The 20161-nt window shown below is 44.2% G+C and overlaps 1 long non-coding RNA gene across 1 annotated transcript; it reads left to right on the top strand.

Annotated features, from left to right (window-relative positions):
- The first annotated feature begins 3397 nt into the window (after nt 1-3397).
- Nucleotides 3398-19646, top strand: LOC124900392 (uncharacterized). The gene is made up of 2 exons (XR_007065892.1): nt 3398-3767; nt 18845-19646. It is a non-coding gene; the product is annotated as an uncharacterized LOC124900392 (long non-coding RNA).
- The last annotated feature ends 515 nt before the right edge of the window (nt 19647-20161 follow it).

Below are 20161 nucleotides of genomic sequence, written 5' to 3'. Positions count from 1 at the left end.
TGTCATACACATTTATTGAGTTGTATTTCATGCATTCTTCCTACTTGACAACACGTGCCAGGAGGAGGTACTAAAGCCCTCAGAGATGAGATGAGAACACAAGACTGATGGGGCTAAATCACTTGCCCCAAGATCATGCAACTGACAGGTTTCACAAGAATTTTGGTTCTTCCCCTGACACTGGCTTCCAGTGATTCCCCACCCACTTTGGTAAACCCCACCTTTTGAGTGTGGGCTGGAGCCAGCAACTCCTAACAAATAGAAAGTGGCAAAGTGGTGGGGTGGCACTTCCAAGATCAGGATACACAAAGGCTGTGCCTCTCTCCCTCTCACTGTATCAGTCAGGGCTCGCAGAGAAACAGGATTAATATGGGGCGTGTATGAGATAGAGAGAGAGAGGGAGAGAAACAGAAACAGAAAGAGACACAGAGAGACACAGACAGAGACAGAGAGACATAGAGAAAGTAATAAGAGAAAGAGGGACAGACAGAGACAGAGAGACCATAGAGAGAGACACATAGAGAAAGAAACAAAGAGAAACAGAGGGATTGAGACAGAGAGGCAAAGAGACAGAAAGAGACAGAGACAGAGAGAGATACGGAAAGACACACGGAGACAGGAACAGAGACAGAGAAAGACATGGAGAGACAGAATGAAACAGAGAAATGCACACACAGAGAGACACAGAGAGACAAACAGAGACAGAAGCAGAGAGACACAGAGATATACAGAGACAGAGGTAACAAAGAGAGACAGACAGAAATGGAGAGAGAGAGAGATTGATTTATTTTAAGGAATTGGCACATGTGATTATAGAGGTCTGGTGAGTCCAAAATCTGATGGGGGAGGCCAGCAAGCCGGAGACCCCTGCAGGACTTGTGGTTACAGCGTGAACACAGTTTGCTGTCAGGACTCCCTCTTTCTCAGAGGAGGGCAATCTTTGTTCTACGCAGGCCTTCCACTGATTGGGCGAGGCCCACCCACACTGTGGCAAGTCATCTGCTTTACTCAAAGTCTGCCAAGGTAAATGTTAATCTCATTCAAAAAACACCTTCACAGAAACATTCAGCATAATGCTTTGGCCAAATGTCTGAGCACCATGGCCCAGCCAAGTTGACACATCAAATTAACCATCACCCTCCCTTGTTTGAAGGAAAGTCGATTAAAGGGTTGTGAGTTGCAGCGGAGAGGCCCATGTGATAGGGAACTGATGGAGCATCAGGCTAACAGCCAGGGAGGATCCGAGGCCCTCCATCCAACAGCCATGTGAGTGGGTTTGGAAGCTCACCCACCCTGACCCCACCCCAGCTGTGCCTTGAGATGACTGCAGCCTGTGAGGTTCACAGGGGCAGAGGACCCCACTACACTGCACCCAGATTCCTGACCCACAGAAACTATGAGATGCTAAATGTTTGTTATTTCAAGCTGTTAAGGTTTGGGGTCATTTGGACATTAGCAATAGACAGCTAACATGTATGCCTTGTGGCTTAAGCTGGCCCTGGGATTTTTCCCCAATGTTTTATCTTAAATATAGGTATGTGTGCCGGGTGCCTAGTGTAGAGAACTGGCTTGTGACCCATCCAGCATTCTAATGGGATGATGCAGTCAGTGATTGTATTAGTCTGTTTTCACACTGCTGATAAAGACATACCTGAGACTAGGCAATTTACAAAGGAAAGAGATTTACTGGACTTACAGTTCCATGTGGCTGGGGAGGCCTCACAATCGTGAAAGGCACATCTCACATGGTGGCAGACAAGAGAATCAATGCCAAGCCAAAGGAGTTTCCCTTTATAAAACCATCAGATCTCCTGAGACTTATTCACTACCACGAGAACAGTATGGGGGAAACCACCCCCATGATTCAGTTATCTCCTACGGGGTCCCTCCCACAACACGTGGGAATTCCAGATGAGATATGGGTGGGAATACAGCCAAACCATATCAGTGATTATTTTACCGCTCTCCCTCCCTGTTCTTATTTCTTCCTTGAACAGTTTTTATCCAGTTTCTAGATTAGGAAACTGAGTTTTGAAGTGACCAGTCCAGAATTGTGGAACGACATGCCTCCTGGTGCTGGAATCTGCACTTGGAGCTCCTCCACTCTGTGGATCAACAATCCTCACGTCAAAAGCACGACCTTCCTTCAGCAAGGAGGACATGATCACATTCCACATTGAAGTGGAGACTTATTGCATCTGGGGACGGAATTCGCTCTGCTGAGCCCAGCAGCAGGGCCCTCTCAGTAGGCAGTCCATCCATGTTAATAAATGTCTCACCTACCAGACAGCTTCAATAAGGTGAACTGTGCAGGAGGGGTCATGCTTGTCAGTTTAGTTTTACTGAGACATGGAGGGCCTGTCTGATGAGGCTCTGGGATTCAGCTGTTGTCCTGGAGGGAAGACAGACTGGCAGTTTCTTCCCCAAGACCTGGCCTCCTCCCTTCCCAGACACACTCTTATTTCATTTCCATTTTCGAAGTCCAGGGACTGCTGGGTTCACATCGCCCTGCGTGTGTATGTGTTGTATGTGCATGTATCGCACTCGTGTGTACAATTATGTATAATGTATGCGAGCTTTGTTCTATGTTAAAAAAAAAAAGTGCTTCCATAGCAGCTGTCTCAAATGCTGTCCCAATAGGTAAGCTGTGCAGGCATTATTTTCCCCGCTTTGCAGGTGGGTATAACTGAGTCTTAGAAGGTACCTGGTTCCCTCGAGGTTACCCTGTAAAGGAGGACTGCTTATCCTCAGCCACTAGGATTCCTGGTGGCTAATCCTCTGAGAGGCTGTGTCCTCCCGTTAGACGTCATATCTCTTTGCATCAACTGCAAAGAAATTCACAGGACTCAGGAGTTTCCTAGGGATTCTCAGAGTGTCAGAATTTCACCAAAGGAGGTAAATGGCAAAACAGCCCAAGCTTGGGCATCCCCCTGTTCCACAGGAAGGAAATGGAAGGCAAAGCAGAACAGTCCAAGGTCAAATTTGACAACATGAGGGAATCCAGGAAGCATTTGGGTCAGGCCCTTCACTTAACAAACGAACAATGTGAGCCTATATGGGGGAGTGGGTGCCCAGAGTCAGAAGCCAGGGCAAGATGGAGACGTGGGTCTGACACCTGTGTTCCTGCTCCTGAACCAGAGGTTCTGACGGTCTGAAGGAGCTGCAGACGCAGCTGTGTGTCTGTGCTGGTGATGAATCCCCTTCTGCTTCCTATTCCCTCTCCCCAGGAGCAGCTTCCCCCTTAAACTCAGCTGAGCCAGCAGGGTGAGCTCCTCCAGAGAGCCGGCTGTGTCAGTCTCCCCTTCCCACACCTGTGCCCCCTCTCCATCTCCGCCCCGGATTCTCAGAGGCTGCACCTGCCGCATTAGGTCTCTCTTCTTCTCCGGGGCCCCTCCTTCTCTCTTTTGATTCTGTCAGGACATGAGTAATGGGCCCTCTCCTTCAAAGAGGAAACAAGATTGATGACAGAAAAAAAGGCCAGTGAAGATCTCCTGCTCCAGCAGAAAACATGCTTGTTCCGTGTGGATTTATGAAGTGGTCACATCTCCCCTTCCAGATAAAGCTTGGCAGAGACTCGGCCACCCAGGGTCACATTTCCTCTGCAGCCAAGCGCAGAGGGAAGATTCTCCAATGTGGGTGTGCAAATAGGACCACCAGTGGGGAGCAGAGGCCGCTTTTCCAGACCAAGAGGAGTCTAGACTATCACTCACACATTCCCTGGTCATCTGGGGCCGCCAGAATTCTGAGAGTGCTTCAGTGGTCTGAAGGTGAGGGCTGTCTTCTTTTACGTTTTTTCGATTACAGGTAAAATCCTGCTCCAAGAAAATAGGATATTTCTTTTTTTTCATGTTGCTCTCCCTCTCTTCCTCCCTCCCTGCCTGCCTCCCTCCCTCCCTCCCTGCCTGCCTCCCTCCCTCCCTCCCTCCCTCCCTGCCTGCCTCCCTCCCTCCCTCCCTCCCTGCCTGCCTCCCTCCCTCCCTCCCTGCCTGCCTCCCTCCCTCCCTCCCTCCCTGCCTGCCTCCCTCCCTCCCTGCCTGCCTCCCTCCCTCCCTCCCTCCCTGCCTGCCTCCCTCCCTCCCTGCCTGCCTCCCTCCCTGCCCCCCCCCCCCCGCCTCCCTCCCTCCCGTCCTGCCTCCGTCCCGTCCTGCCTCCCTCCCTCCCTTCCTTCCTTCCTTCCCCAGGCTTCAGTGCAGTGACATGCCTGGCTAACTTTAAAAAAATGTTTTTGTCTGTGTGTGTGGAGATGGAGTCTCCCAATGTTGCCCCAACTGGTCTCAAACTCCTGGGCTCAAGCAATCCTCCCACCCTGGCCTCCCAAAAGTGCTCAGATTACAGACATCAGCCACCCTATCTGGCCAAAATGGGATATTTCTGCCCAATGAGGACATGTGTTCTCCTTCTGGATTTTTTCCCCGTATGATTACCTCTACCTGAAGATACTGTTGACAGATAAGATATAGGATGCTCAGGTGCATTCAAATTTCGAATAAACGACCATTTTTTTCTTTAGTAAAAGTATATTCCAAATACTATGTAGGACATGCTCATACTAAAATAACAAAAAGTATTCCTTTTTGCTAAATTGTGCAGCCTGACCTGAAGAATCATTTTGCTTGTATGTGTTTGTTCTTTGTTCTAATGATGAGTTTAAAAGCACTCTGGAGGAATAAATTCCTGAAACTCTGGAAGCTGAGGGCCTCCTTTTGTATTTCCTTTCTTGCTACTTGCCTTGGGCCCTGCTTGCCCTTGGCCATGCTTGACTCTTGGCCACTGAATTGGAGAGGCAAAAGGCAGGAGATTTGTAGAACAGTGGTTCTCAACTGGGGACAGTTTTGCCCTCGGGGACATGTGGCAATGTCTAGAGACATTTTTGCATGCACACACACAAATTACCTAGCCTCAAATATAAATAATGCTGCAGGTGGGAATCCCTGGAGTAAAGGAAGAAAATGCATATTTAAAATAAAGGGCCTGAGGCTCAACTACAAACCCACCACCTGAAAGTTCTCCCAAGTCCGCCGGGCAAGGTAGCTTATGCCTGTAATCCCAGCAGTTTGGGAGGCCAAGGCAGGTGGATCACCTGAGGTCGGGAGTTCGAGACCAGCCTGACCAACGTAGTGAAGCCCCATCTCTATTAAAAATACAAAATTAGGCGGGTGTGGTGGTGCATGTCCGTAGTCCCAGCTACTCGGGAGGCTGAGGCAGGAGAATCACTTGAACCTAGGAGGCAGAGGTTGAGCTGAGATGGCGCCACTGCACTTCAGCCCCGGCAAGAGCAAAACTCTGTCTAACAAAAACAAAAAACAAAAAACAAAAAAAAACCCCAAGTCATCAGGAATTGGCACAGACAGCTTGGAAACTGCAGTCTAGCCCCCTCCTCCACCCACAGCCCTGAGGCCCTGTAAGACCTTCCCTCCAATTTCCCCTTGAAGGCTGCCCCTGAGGTTAATTTTAACCATCTTTCATGCAGACAACAATGTTGGGGGATGGGCGGTCTCCGAGTGGTGCTTAGGCCCTCTTTTGCATCTTCCTGCCCTTCCCTGCCACCAGCCTTCCCTGGCAAGGCTCTGCGATGATCGTGGCAACAGCTTTCCAAGGCGCCCAGATGTGTCCTTTCTGCCCTGGTGGAGACTGAAGAAAACATGCCTCTTTGCTTGCTGTCCAATGGGAAATGTGAAAGCACTGAAGAGGCAACAACTATCAAGACCCACCTCTTCCCCCATGTCCTTTCTTCCACTGGCAGCCAGGGTCTCCAGAAAAGAGACTGGCAGAATCAGTATTCATTCCTGGGTTCCTACAGCAGGAGAAATAGACTGAAGGTTACCCCAACAAAGGAGAAATAAATGTTCATCTTCAGCAAACTACATCAGCTCTCCATACCCTAGAGTTCAGGGAGGTTTGCAAGCTCAGCTTTCCTGCATGCCCCTTCGTCCTTGTGTTTTCTCCTATGTACTCCTCAGCGGAGATGGCAGCGAGCTGAGCATCCCCCCCACTCAGTGGTCTGCTGAGGATGGAGGTATTGAAAACGACCCCATCAGCTTTTCCAAGAGCCCTCTGTGTGGTGTGGGAGAGCAAAATCCAGTCCTTTCTTTGGACTGAAGAACAAACCATCAAAACAAGACAGAGGCAAAAATAAGCAACAAAAAAGCGGGAGGCTTTTCCTTCTTAAGTAAAATCCTGGGACAAGTAACTTTGAACTTGTTTTTTGAACTAGAAGGGGTAAACAAAGTTCAAGTCTTACAGCTTAGATTTTGTTTCCCATAGTCTCTCACATTTTTATCTATGGCTGGAGAAGCAAAATAGTTTATTTTATGGGACCTGTGATTTTCCCTCCACCAAGTGACATGAGCCAGTGGCCGCCTGTTGGGTTGCAGTAGAGAAACTCCTCTTAGCAGCCCTGGCTCATCTCCTCCCTCCCCTGCTCTTTTTCTGTCTGCCCCTCACTTTGGCTCCCCAACTCCCCGCCCCACCCTTTCCAAAAGATTTATAGAGCCAAGTGGCTTGAGAACAAATGAGCAGACTTCAGGCTGATGTATTCTGCATACTAATGACAAGATACTGCTTCTGTACCTAGGGGCAAAGCCAGGTCAGGCCAGTTTAACCATAAACTTTATTTATGGGCTTATAACTTTGCAGCTGCGGTAGCTCTGCCCAATCTTCTGAGATCTGCCTCTCTCTATAGCTTCATACATATTTTTAAAACAAATTTGGTGGGGGTTGGGGAAGAGAGTGCTGGTAGCTCTCTCTTTATGATCTCCTGAGTAATTCTAGTAAGACGTTTAAGCCAAAGGGAAAAAAGGGGTCAGAGAAGGAAATAGTAATAGTAATGGTAGTAGTAGTAGAAGTCATCGAGTAGTAGTAATTCTTCCTCCCAGGGAAAAATAAAGCAATAATAATAATACTTCCCCCTAAGGCAGGCATTTATTCTATCTAGTACTTCTGAGTTTTCTACAAGTTAATCTTTAGAACCACCAATCTGGAATCTTGAATCACAAAATGAATTGCCTGCTTCAAAATGGCTCAAGACCCTTCCTTCCTGCCAAGGATCTTCTACATTTGAGCATCTTTAATTTATCAGTGAACTGGTCTCTCCAGTCCAGATAGTGTGAAGCTCAGAGCTCAGCACCTGCTTACCTTGCCTCCTTCAATCCTCACGGTGCCCCTCCTCCATTCTGGTTGTATGTTATAACCATGTTTGTGTAAGTCCGTGTAGCATGAGAAAGAGTCCATCCAGGATTGTAAGTTCAATGCCATGAAAATGGATTGATCTTGCTTGGCCTCTGTGTCATGGACTTAGCTCAAGGACAGAGGTGGTGTAGATAGCTTCAGTCATTCAATAAAGATGTATTGGTCACCTGCTATGGGCCAAGCACTGTGCTTGGTGTCAGGACACCAGAGTGAACAAGATAAAATAATCTCCTGTCTGGAATGAGTTTGAAGGATGTAGGCAAGTCCATTCCCACTGCTGAGAATGCATTTTAAAGCATGCATTGGAATGCTTGTGGCACCTGGCCCATCATTAGTAAACCATGCCAGATCTTTTCCAAGGTGAACAGCATTGGATGGGTGATTGGAGATCAGCCTTAGTATCATGGGGACTTGGGTCATAATCTCTGCCCATGCATGGAATAGTTAATCCATTTAACCTTTCTGCCCTTCAGCCTGCCCTTCAGAAAGGATCTAAGACATTAGTGGGTGAAGAGAGGGAAGAGTTTGTGAACACCTGTGACCTTCAACAAAAGCTTGAAAAAACAAGGTCACCATTATTGATTACCACTTTTCTCTGGTTCACATGTGGGCTGTGCCACTACTGGGGTCAGAAGTTGAATGAGGACATTCTTTGAAACTTGCTCAGAGCAAGTTTCCCCTCTGGGGAAGGAGTCTAGCCAAGTGGTCATGAGATGCCAGAGTCTTCTTCTCTGACTCTTAGGAACCTACTCTTTCTATTCTACATGGTTAGAGAGAAAGGATTAGGGCACAAGAACTTTGGGGACATGACAATAGCAAAGGAACTGTAGGCTGGTGGACAGGCCTTGTCTTGCCAGCTTGTGTGACCTTGGACAAATCACCTTACCTCTCTGAGCCTCGATATACAAATCTTTGAAATGGGTATAATAATAATTCCTGTCCTAGGTACCTTGCATGGTTGATATATTGTGAGGTCTATATAAATCTACCACAAAAATGCTACAAATAATTAGTTAAGTGCTCCAAAAATGTTAGTTTTTTTAAATGGCTACTTGAACAGTGGAAATCAGACACTGATGAGGATTTGTTATATAAATGAAAGGCATGAATAATTGAAGGGTTTGAAGGCTCCACAGCTTTTTAATCACACTCAACCAATGCCGGTGTATATAAATCTGTATAGAAATGATCATTTGTCTCACTGCAGTTTTTAATGGATTCATTGACTTTCCTTGTAGGGCAGGGGTATGTGAGTTCCCAGGAGAGCATAAGGTTCCTGTGGGCAGGAAGTAGGTCTGTCCCTTTGCTGATGTCCCTGTAACACCTGCTGCAGAGGGCTGTGTCCTCAACTGAAGTCACTCCCCTGGCTGACCAACTGATTGACTGACAGACTAGGGTTAGGGATAGACATTCACAGACATGGAAAGATGTTTTCTAGTATTGTAACGTCTATGATACTCCTTTGACATCCCTGGAGATGGGCATCTATACATGCTGACTGAATGAAAGCCAGGAGCTATACAGCATCTTGTGCTATTTGCTGGTGCTTGATGCAGCTGGAAGGTGTGATGTAGAGCAAGATTCTTCTTCCCCAGGACAGTTAGCATTGGTGTTGCTACTTCAAAACAAGGAGATCTTAAGGAAGTCATTTTGCTATCTGATTTGGTAGTTTGCAGAACTACAAAACAGGAACGCTAAAGGCTACCTTGGAGCTGTTGTGTGGATTGGTGTATTCTATAAAGACACTCGCACAGTGCCTGGAACATGATGGTGGTTAATATTATTTCCATATCGCTTTAGTACTGGTGCAGACACGACTCAAGACTACATTTGCTAAGTGTGAAAACGAGTGCGTGGTGTTATCTGACAGCTTTTTTTACGAGAAGGACCTTCCTTCCCATACATCTGCTGCTAGCCACATGGCCCATGCATCTGTGCCAGTTGTCCCTAGTTCTGTTTCCATAGCTCCTGAGGATGTTACTCCTGCACTTTAGCAGACCTCAGAGTAACTGTTTTTTCTTCTCTCTTACATAATTATTATTGTTATTCTTTTTTTGAGACGGAGTCTTGCCCTGTGGCCCAGGCTGAAGTACAGCAGCACAATCTCAGCTCACTGCAACCTCCTCTTCCTGGATTCAGGCGATTCTCGTGCCTCAGCCTCCCAAGTAGCTGGGATTACAGGTGTGAGCCATCGTGCCCAGCGCCATAATTTATTTCATATTTCATCTATCAAATATTTATTAAAAACCTCCTATGTTCCGGTTGCTATAATGGACATTGAGATACTTCTAGGCCAATAGTACTGAGCTTAGAACATAAACACAATGTAAAACAAACAAACAAACAAACAAACAAAAAGCCTACTTCTAAATTCAGCCAGAGAAATCTGGATAATAAGGAAGGTTACTATTGATTCCCCACCCACTTCCTCAAAAGAAGAGTTTCTAACCCATTGCTGAGGCTCCAGATGTTCTTATTCCTCTTTTAGAGGATGTTTTCTTTTCCAAAGTCCATGAGGAGAAGGAGATCGTAGAAAACAGGATCACAGAAAAGATGCTCTGCGATTTGAACTCTCAATTGGGGGTCATCAGGCTTTTTCTGTAAAGGCCCAGATAGATAGTAAGTGTTTTAGGCTTTGTGAATAACATGGTTTCTGTCGCAACTAGTCGAGTCTGACGTTACAGCATGAAGGCAACCACAGATAATATGTAAAAAAAAAGCATGACTGTGAACCAATAAAACTTTATTTACAAAACCAGGAAAACTACAAAATTCTGATTAAAAATACAAAAATGTAATAAGTGGAGAGATATTCTATGTTCATGGACTGGAAGACTTGATATTGTTTAGATATCATTTCTTCCTAACTTGTTCTGTACACTCACCACAATCCCAGTCAAAATCCCAGGCAGCTATTTTATAGAGAATGACAAACTGATTCTAAGGCTTATATGAAAGGGCCAAGGTAACATAATACTGAAGAAGAATAACAACAACATTGCAAGATTCACACTACCAGATATCTCACACTAAGGCTATACTAATCAAGACAGAGTGATATTGGTGAAAGAATAGACAAATAGATCAATGGAACAGAATAGAAAGCCCAGAAAGAGACCAACACAAACACAGTCAGTGGATCACTGACAAAGGAGCAAAGGCAATTCAACGGCGAAAGGATAATCTTTTCAACATATGATACTGGAGCAATTCGATATCCATATGGAAAAAAAAACTAGACACAAATCTTACACTTTACACAAAAATGAACTAAAAATGGACATGAGCCTAAACATAAAATGAAAAACTATAATATTTCTTGAAGAAAAAGTAACAGAAAATCTACATAACCTTGGGTCTGTGACAAGTTCTTATAACACCAATAGCACAATTGATGAAAGAAAAAATTGATGTCAGACTTTATTAAAATGGAAAACTTCTGCTATGCAAAATAGAATCACATAAAAGTGAAAAGACAAGCCACAGACTGGGAGAAAATGTTCACAAAACATATATCCAAAAAAGACATGTATCCAAAATACACAATCTACAAACAACTCAATTTAAAAATGGGTAAAAATTATGAACAGACTCTCACCAAAGAAGATACATAGATGGCAAACAGCATATGAAAAGATAATAAATATCATTTGTCATTAGGGAATTGCAAATTAAAACAATGAAATACCTGTTAAAATGACTAAAATTCAAAAACTAACAATACCAGCTTTTGTCAAGGATACAGAGCAACAGGGACTCTCATTCATTGCTGGTGGGAATGCAAAATGGTACAACCACTTTGGAATACAATTTGACCGTTTCTTATAAAACTAGTCTTGCCCTACAATCAAGCAATCACACTCCTAGATATTTGCCCAACTGGTTTGAAACACATGTCCACTCAAAATTCTGCATGTGAACTGAACATGGTGGCTCACGCCTGTAATTCCAGCAATTTGGGAGGCTGAGGTGGGTGGATCACTTGAGGTCAGGAGTTCAAGACCAACCTGGCCAACATGATGAAACCCTGTCTCTACTAAAAATACAAAAAAATTTAGCTGGGCATGGTGGCACATGCCTGTAATCCCAGATACTCAGGAGGCTGAGGCATGAGAATCACATGAACCCAGGAAGCTGACATTTCAGTGAGCCAGGATCGTGCCACTGCACTCCATCCAGCCTTGGTGACAGAGTGAAAATCTGTCTCAAAAACAAACTGCATCTGAATAGCAGTTTTATTCATAATTGTCAAAAGCAGGAAGTAACCAAGACATCCTTCAATAGGTACATGACTAAATAAACTGTGGTACATTTATACAATAGAATATTATTCAGCAATAAAAGAAATGAGGCATGAAGCCATTGAAAGACATGGATCGATCTTAAATGTATACTGCTAAGTGAAAGAAGTAAGTCTGAGAAACTACATGGGGTAAGATTCCAATTATATAACACACTGGAAAAGGCAAAATATAGGTCTCATTGCTCTGTCAGTTAAGAGAACCTAGAGTTGGTAAAGAGATTGTTGGTTGCCAGGGGTTCAGAGAAGAGAGAAGGATGAATAGGTGAAACACAGGGACTTCTTTAGGGCAGTGAAATGATTCTGCATAATATTGTAATGGTGAGTATAAGATATTAGGCATTCATTAGAACCCATAGAACTTTACAGCAGAAAAGTGCACCTTAATGTCTACAATGTTTTAAAAATATTATTTAAGAGTTTGAGGGATCCCAGGGTGGAATGCAGATGTGACAGAAGGATGTAGAAGTCTTACAAATGTATGAAAGAACATCAATGAATGAGGTCAGGGAATAAGGTACTGACCTAAGTAACTTTGAAAGTGAGTGAAGTCTGTAAGACTGAAAGAAAAAGGAGCTGTAGGCCTGGCACGGTGGCTCATGCCTGTAATCCCAGCATTTTGGGAGGCCAAGGCGGGCAGATCACTTGAGGTCAGGAGTTTGAGACCAGCCTGGCCAACATGGGGAAACCCTGTCTGTAACAAAAATACAAAAATTAGCCAGGCGTGGTGGCGCACACCTGTAATCCCAGCTAGTCGGGAGGCTGAGGCAGGAGAATCGCTTGAACCTGGGAGGCAGAAGTTGCAGTGAGTCAAGATCACACCACTGCACTCCAGCCTGGGTGACAGAGCGAGACTCCATCAAAAATAATAATAATTATTATTATAATAATACTAGAAAAAAAGGAGCTGTATACAAGCACTGTATTGGCATTTCTACCCACCCCCACACACACTTTTTTGTGGGGAAGATAAGGGTTAGCAATTCTGAAACCATTATGCATAAAGGCCAGAATTGGACAGTTCAGTGAATGGATCAAAGATTGTGGGAGCCAGGTTTTTCATTGCTAGAATGGGAGCTCACAGATAAGCAAGGGGAGGAGATGGGAATGATCTGTGTGCTAATGGATTCGAGTTGGAGACATAAGTACAAATCCATATTTAGCTTAATGTAGAAACAGATAATTACATGTAGAAATATTCATTGATCTGCATATATATACAGGTTAGCACACGTATATATGTCTCCTTGCTCTGTCAGTTGGAAGAATCTAGAAGCACTAACACTCCAGTAACAATGAGAACACCTAGTGCCTGGTCTTAGTTCCTAAAACCATTTGTCTATAGAAAGAACCAGGGCTCATATAGCTGACTCTACTGGAGCAGGAAATGCGCAAAACGAGCCAGGAGCCTCTCGTAGTGGCAGAAAGTAAGAAAATGCTCAAAAACCAACACCAAAACAAAATGAAATTTAAAAAAGCAAAACGATAAAACCCCCACATGCTGGGTGCGGTGGCTCATGCCTGTAATCCCAGCACTTTGGGAGGCCGAGGCGGGAGGATCACAAGTTCAGGAGATCGAGACCATTCTGGCTAACATGGTGAAACTCCATCTCTACTTAAAATACAAAAAAAATCAGCCAGACATGGTGGTGGGCACCTGTAGTCCCAGCTACTCAGGAGGCTGAGGCAGGAGAATGGCGTGAACCTGGGAGGCAGAGCTTGCAGTGAGCCAAGATCATGCCACTGCACTCAAGCCTGGGCGACAGAGCGAGACTCCATCTCAAAAAAAAAAAAAATAATTAAAATAAATAAAGTAATATTCCATATAACCCCCAAAATATAAAGTAAATACCCATGATTCATAATGATAAAGATAAATGACTGGGTAAACAAATGGAAGAGACCAGACACATCTGTGCAGAAGGATTCCAAATAATGTATGTAGCTACTCCACCCCTGAGAAGGTGGAGCGTAATTCCCCCCTCCTTAAGTGTGGGCTACACATAGTGACTTTCTTCCAAAAACTAGAGTATGGAAAGGGAGAAACAAAGTGCGAGAAACCCAGCAAACCCTACCTGAGCCAGGTTAATATCGATATCAATAAATCTCATTGATAGCATGGATGTTTTTTTTTTTAATGTCAACAAAGGACTTTCACATAGACATGTAGACAAGCACTTTTTTTTTTTTTTTTTTTTTTTTTGAGACAGACTCTTGCTCTGTCACCAGACTGGAGTGCAGTGGCACGATCTCAGCTCACTGCAACTTCTGCCTCCCAGGTTCAAGCAATTCTTGTGCCTCAGCCCTCCAAGTAGCTGGGATTACAGGTGCGCAACACCACACTCGGCTAATTTTTGTATTTTTAGTAGAGACGGGGTTTTGCCATGTTGGCCAGGCTGGTTTCGAATTCCTGACCTCAGGTGATTCACCTGCCCCGGCTTCCCAAAGTGATGGGATTACAGGCGTGAGCCACCACACCTGGCCAACAGCATGGACTCTTGATGTGATGAGAGTGGCACTTTCCATACTTACCTGGCAGGGGAGATACCATGATCACGAGAGTGGCACATTCCATCTGTGGTCTTCCTCCCCAAAGCTCATTATCCCAGTCTAATCAAGAAAAAAAAAAAAACCAAAAAACCAAAAACAAATCTCAATTGAGGAATCCTCAACAAAACGCCCCACTAGTATCCCTCAAAACTGTCAAAGTCATCAAAAACAAAGAAAGTCACTCTGAGAAGTTATCACAACCAAGAGGAGGCTAAGGACTTACTATGACTAAATGTAGTGTGGTGTCCAGGGTGAGGTCCTGGAATGCAAAAAGGATATTAGGGCATAATTGAGGAGATTTGAATAAAGTATGGTCTTTAGTTAACAATAATTGATCAATATTTGTTCCTTCATCGTGACAAATGTGCCACCATAATGCAAGATGTTAATAAAGAAAAAAAGGGTGTGGGGTATACAGAAAAATTCTGTATTCTAAATAATTTTGAAAACCTGAAATTGCTCTAAAATTAAAATTGTAATTAAAAAAAAATACAGGCAATAGGCTGAATTTGGCTCCTGGCTACAGTTTGCTGACTTTACCCGAGATCAATGTTTTCAAACCTGGCTGCTCATTTTACAAGCTTTATTTTATTTTATTTTATTTTATTTTATTTTATTTTATTTTAGACGGAGTCTCGCTCTGTTGCCAGGCTGCAGTGCAGTGGCATGATCTTGGCTCACTGCAAACTTGGACTTCCTGGTTCAAGTGATACTCCTGCCTCAGCCTCCCGAGTAGCTGGGATTACAGGCATGCACCACCACACCCAGCTAATTTTTGGATTTTTAGTAGAGACGGGGTTTCACCACGTTGGCCAGGATAGTCTCGATCTCCTGACCTCGTGATCCGCCCGCCTCGACCTCCCAAAGTGCTGGGATTACAGGCGTGAGCCATCGCGCCTGGCCACAAGCTTTATTTTTAAAATAGGTAATTTACATGTTTGAGAATAAAGACATCATGAAAGTTTTTTTCTGTTTTTTTTGTTTGTTTTTTGTTTTTGTTTTTTTTTTTTAGATAGGATCTTGCTCTGTCACCCAGGCTGGAATGCAGAAGCATGATCACAACTCACTGAAGCTTCCGTTGATCCGGGTTCAGTTGATCCTCCTACCTTAACCTCCCGAGTAGCTGGGACTACAGATGCATGCCACTATGACTGGCTGATTTATTTTTTTTTTTGGTCTTTCTGTAGAGGCAGGTTTTTGCCATGTTGCCCAGGTGGGTCTCAAACTCCTGAGCTCAAGCGATCTACCTGCCTCAGCCTCGCTAAGAGCTGGGATCATAGGCATGAGCCACTGCACCCGGCCCTATGAAAAGTCTTAATCTTACCCATTTGGAAAGTATTCCGTCACTCCTTGTTCCCTGTTGTCACTACTTGTATTATTTTTATTTTCTCCCTTTTTCTACATAAACCATAGTACCCTATAAACACTGTTCTACCTCTTGCTTTTTTTTTTTTCTTTTTCTTTTTTTGGTATGTATTCAGGAGATTTTTCAATATTAGCGCAGAGAAATCTTTCTCATTCTTTTTAACTGATGCATAGTATTCTAAGTTAAGAGTTTACTTAGCCAGGCTCCTATGAGGGTTGCCTCCAGTCTTTGCTATTACAAATTATTCTGTAGTGGACAATCTTACATGTCTGGAGTTAAAAGCTTGAGGAGGTCTGACTTTGATGTCTGCACTCCACTTCAAGTGAATTAAATCAGAAATTCTTAGGGTGGGTCCTAGGCAGCCTTATTTTATTTATTTATTTACTTTTAGATGAAGTCTCACTCCGTTGCCCAGGCTGGAGTGTAGTGGTGCGATCTCAGCTCACTGCAACTTCCATTTCCCGGGTTCAAACAATTCTCCTGCCTCAGTCTCCCAAGTAGCTGGAATTTCAGGTGCCCACCACCACACTCGGCTACTTTTTGTATTTTTAGTAGAGACGGGATTTCACCATGTTGGCCAGGCTAATCTCAAACTCCTGACCTCAGGTGATCCACCCGCCTAGGCCTCCCAAAGTGTTGGGATTACAGGCATGAGCCACCATGCCCAGTCGGCATCCTTATTTTTAAATAAGTCCTCCAATGAATCCTAACATGAATCCCAGACTGAGCAGCACTGCTACAGAACAAACACGTTCTGGAAGGTTAGCGGAAAATGGTTCTCAAGGCAGGCAACACATCAGATCACTGCAGCGCTAGATAAAAATCTATACAAATATCCATGTACAAGGCTCACCTCAGAAAAAACTGGATCATAATCAATGGGAGGAGTACCCAGTGTATTATTTTTTAAAGCTTCCTATGTGTTTCTAATGCACAATTAGGGTTAAGAACCATCAATCTAGGGCAGAAGTGCACCTTGTTAGAGGGAGAGCTGGAGAACTGCCTTTTCTTCCCCTGGATCTTCCAGTCCACTCTCTGTCTCTCTATCCCCTCCCTACACCTGCCTTGGAAAGTCGCTAGGAAGTAGACCCAGGACAGGATGAACGGCAAGTCAGGGTGAGTGCCCACAATGCAAGAATGGGGTGGTGGGCTTTTGTCAGCCCACGGGCAGCATGAACATGAAGGGAATGCTCGCCATCAGAGGGTGCGCATCACTGCCCATCCGTGAGCTCCGGATTAATATTTTGCCAGCCCTTGATGGACTTTTGTTTCCTTCCGGCAACCTCTCTTTGCCGTCGTCAGAGCTGTGGTGAGCTCTGAGGATATGGGTGTACAAACCGAAACTTTTCTTTCCTCATCTTTACTTAATTTCAGTGAGTTGGCTTGAAATCTAAGCCATGACATACTTTGGGCACTGCTTCCTCATTGTGTCATGGGAAAAGACAAGGGGAAATGAAGTTTTAAAGAAAGGAATATCCCTTAGTAATTGACATGTGTTGAGTGCTTACTCATGGTACTCTTGCCCCAGATGTATGACATTTTATTTTACAATGGGAAACTGAGGCACAGAGAGGTTAAGAAATTTATCCAAGGTAACACAGTTGGGTAGTGTCAAAGGAAGTGGATCTCAAAACCAGGTTTACCCAGCTCCAAAGCCTAAGCTCTGTGCTATCCTGCCTTCTTCCTATAGAGATGGAAAATTTTCTCCTGATCTCTGTATATCCTCAAGGACTGTCATCTTCAATGGAATCCAAAATGTTGGTGGCCTCCACCTTGAGGAAGCATAAAAGGGATCTATCTATCTATATATATATATATATATATTCTGCTCGTATTCCAAGGTTAACTTTCTGCAGGAGGCAAAAACAATTGCTTTGCATCTCCAGTGAAGCCATAGGGCTTTGTCATAGTCTTGTACTCAAGGGTTCTTCAAAAAGTTCCTCCTGGAACTCCACAAATACCACCTGCTCTAACAACCATTACAGTAACCATTAGGGTTTCCAGGCATATAGAAGTCTTACCCTCATTGCCTCATTTAACCTACATTCCACCTTATTAGATAAGCAAACTGGGGCCCCAAGAACTTAAGTAACCTGCCCAAGGTCACAGCACTAGGAAATATCACTGCCAGTTTCAAATTCAAGTCTCATTTGACACCAGAGCTTGTGCTCAAGCACTGCCCTGCCCATTCCAGTGTATTTTCTAGGGAAGCTTTCTTTTTCACCCCCTGGTGAGTCTTTCCACTTTCCTCTTGCTATCCCTAAAGACATTCAAAACTTTTAAGTCTCTTTCTCTTTCTTCCCCTACCCAAGCGAGGGAGAATTAGGCCACAGTGGATGGATTGATATGTGGAGTTAACCCATGTCTTCCCCAACCATGGCCAGACAAATTCCAGACATTAGAATCAGGGGCAAGGAGCTGGAGTGAGAACCCAAGGGTTAATATTGCTATAGTGGGAAAGTTATCTGCTTTGTTGTAAAACACAGCTTCCCAGCACTACAGAAGGGGCTATTAGCATGCAAATGTACTTTGCCTCATGCTTTTTAATGTTTTACTTCTGTTAATTGCTGAAACCGGTTGTAATTTCTGGGCACTGCTGGCTTCAGGGAAGCAGTTTCCTCTAAAGGGAGTTATCATTGCACCTGGAAAGATTTGAATTCTAATTTTATTAACCAGTTGGGTGAGGCATTTTCACTACTTCTCAAAGGGAAAAAAATAGTTGGTTGAAGTTAGAAACCTTCTCATTGTACTTAGTTTCCTCTGAGTTCTTTGGTTTGGAACCTGGTGTTCTCCGTAAGAGATCAAGAATCACATATGAGGCCAGGCACGGTGGCTCATGCCTATATTCCCCAGCACTTTGGGAGGCTGGGGCGGGTGGATTACAAGGTCAGGAGATCGAGACCATCCTGGCCAACACAGTGAAACCCTGTCTCTACTAAAAATACAAAAAAATTAGCCAGTCGTGGTGGCGGGCACCTGTAGTCCCAGCTACTCGGGAGGCTGAGGAAGGAGAATGGCGTGAACCTGGGAGGCAGAGCTTGCAGTGAGCCGTGATTGCACCACTGCACTCTAGCCTGGGTGACAGAGCGAGATTCTGTCTCAAAAAAAGAATCACATATGAGATTTGATAAAGATAACAGAGAGTTTGTTAAAGACTTTAGATATCAGACTCCCAATTATAAATTTGCACTGAAAAATATTTCTAATTTTTTTCTCATTCCAGGGACAATCTAGATGAGTAAATTACTTCTCAGGTGACTTACAAATCTAAAACTCTACTATCTATGAAGTAGAAATGACTAGAGAAGGGAACCCCTGCTATGGCTAGACAAATTTGCTGCTAGCACCCAGCAAGGCCTTCTCAGCCAGTTTAAGGAAATGACTTCCCACCTTATCTCCATCGACACATACATCACAATGGAATTGTTTTTTCTTTTCAGCAGTGGATGCAGAGATTCTGAAACTGGGCAGAGGTTCCAGAAGACAAGTCATTTTTCTAGACCTCCCATAGACGCCATCGTTGATCAAGCCATTTTCATTTTCACGAAGTATTTTATTATGGAACTCCTAAAGACCATCAGCCCTACCTGGCACTGGCTTTCTGGTTGAAAAGCAGCATTGTGGAGCCTGAAACATCATCAGAGGCAACTGCTTCCCCTCCCTGTGGATTTAGGACCGCTATGTGCAGAGGTCTGTATTAGAGAGCCAGCTAGAGTAGCCAGCAGTGACATAACTATGTAGGGAGAAGACACAGTTGTCACCTTGACCCCACTGGATACAGAAATGTCAATGGAAAAACAAATTCTGCATCTGCTGAATTGTTCTGTCAATGCTTGCACTTTCTTGTCATTTACTATATAGAAAGAATTATTAGTATCTTTTATTTGTCAGTTATTGATCCACCTTTTTTTTTTTTTTTTTTTTGGTGGCAGTTCTCCTGTTTGTTAGTTTGCTGTCCCAGTTGAATTCTGAGTTTCCGGGAATCCCTAGTGCAATGAGAAATGATGGAGAACCAATTCTCATTATCTGATGAAGGAAAGAGCCATGTACCTACAACAGCAAAGGCTCAGACAAGCCTTCTCCTGCCTTGGGTTCATGGTCACGTGCTGTAGGTGTCTTGTCTTCCCATGTGCACCTGTCTGCATCCTCATGGTGCATCCTCAGGATGTCCCGTACAGTGTCTTACCTATGGTTATGCTTTTATAACAATGTGCTAATAAAAGCATGGATTACAAAACAAAACAGAAGATATGGGTTTCCTTGTTGATTTAGATATGCCCAAGCTTTCTGGGTTGGAAGACTGTAGTGTCTGGACTGTCTGGAGTCAAAGCAGTGTTGAATCTATAACAGCAAGAAACTATTTCAGCAGAGCCAGATGTCAGGTTCTGGGCTGAGCTTTGATGGAAACTAAAGACAGGACAAGAGGAGTTTGCTTCCCATGCAGAGGAGGCTGGAATATTGTACGTGAGTGAAGTGATGAGCTTTAAAGATTCATCCGTGCTGTTAGCCCACTGTATCAAATGCTGGATTCTTTCATTTTGACTTTTTAAGTTTCTTTTTAGTGGTAGTTGGGAGTGGAGGTGGCTAGTGAGAAGAGAAAGACTTTTTCCTTTTTGAGCACCTCTTTGGACCATTTACATTCATTGACAGCTCAGAAGAATCCAACAGGTAGGTTTTATCTCTATTTTGCATTAAAAAGAAATTGAGGGTTAGAGTCCCACGGATGCCCCAAGCTACAGGAGCAGTGAGAGTCCTAG

The sequence above is a fragment of the Homo sapiens genome, chromosome 17 (genome assembly GCF_000001405.40).
Source record: "Homo sapiens chromosome 17, GRCh38.p14 Primary Assembly".
Classification (NCBI taxonomy): Eukaryota; Metazoa; Chordata; class Mammalia; order Primates; family Hominidae; genus Homo; species Homo sapiens.
This window is presented reverse-complemented; position numbering and strand designations above follow the sequence as displayed.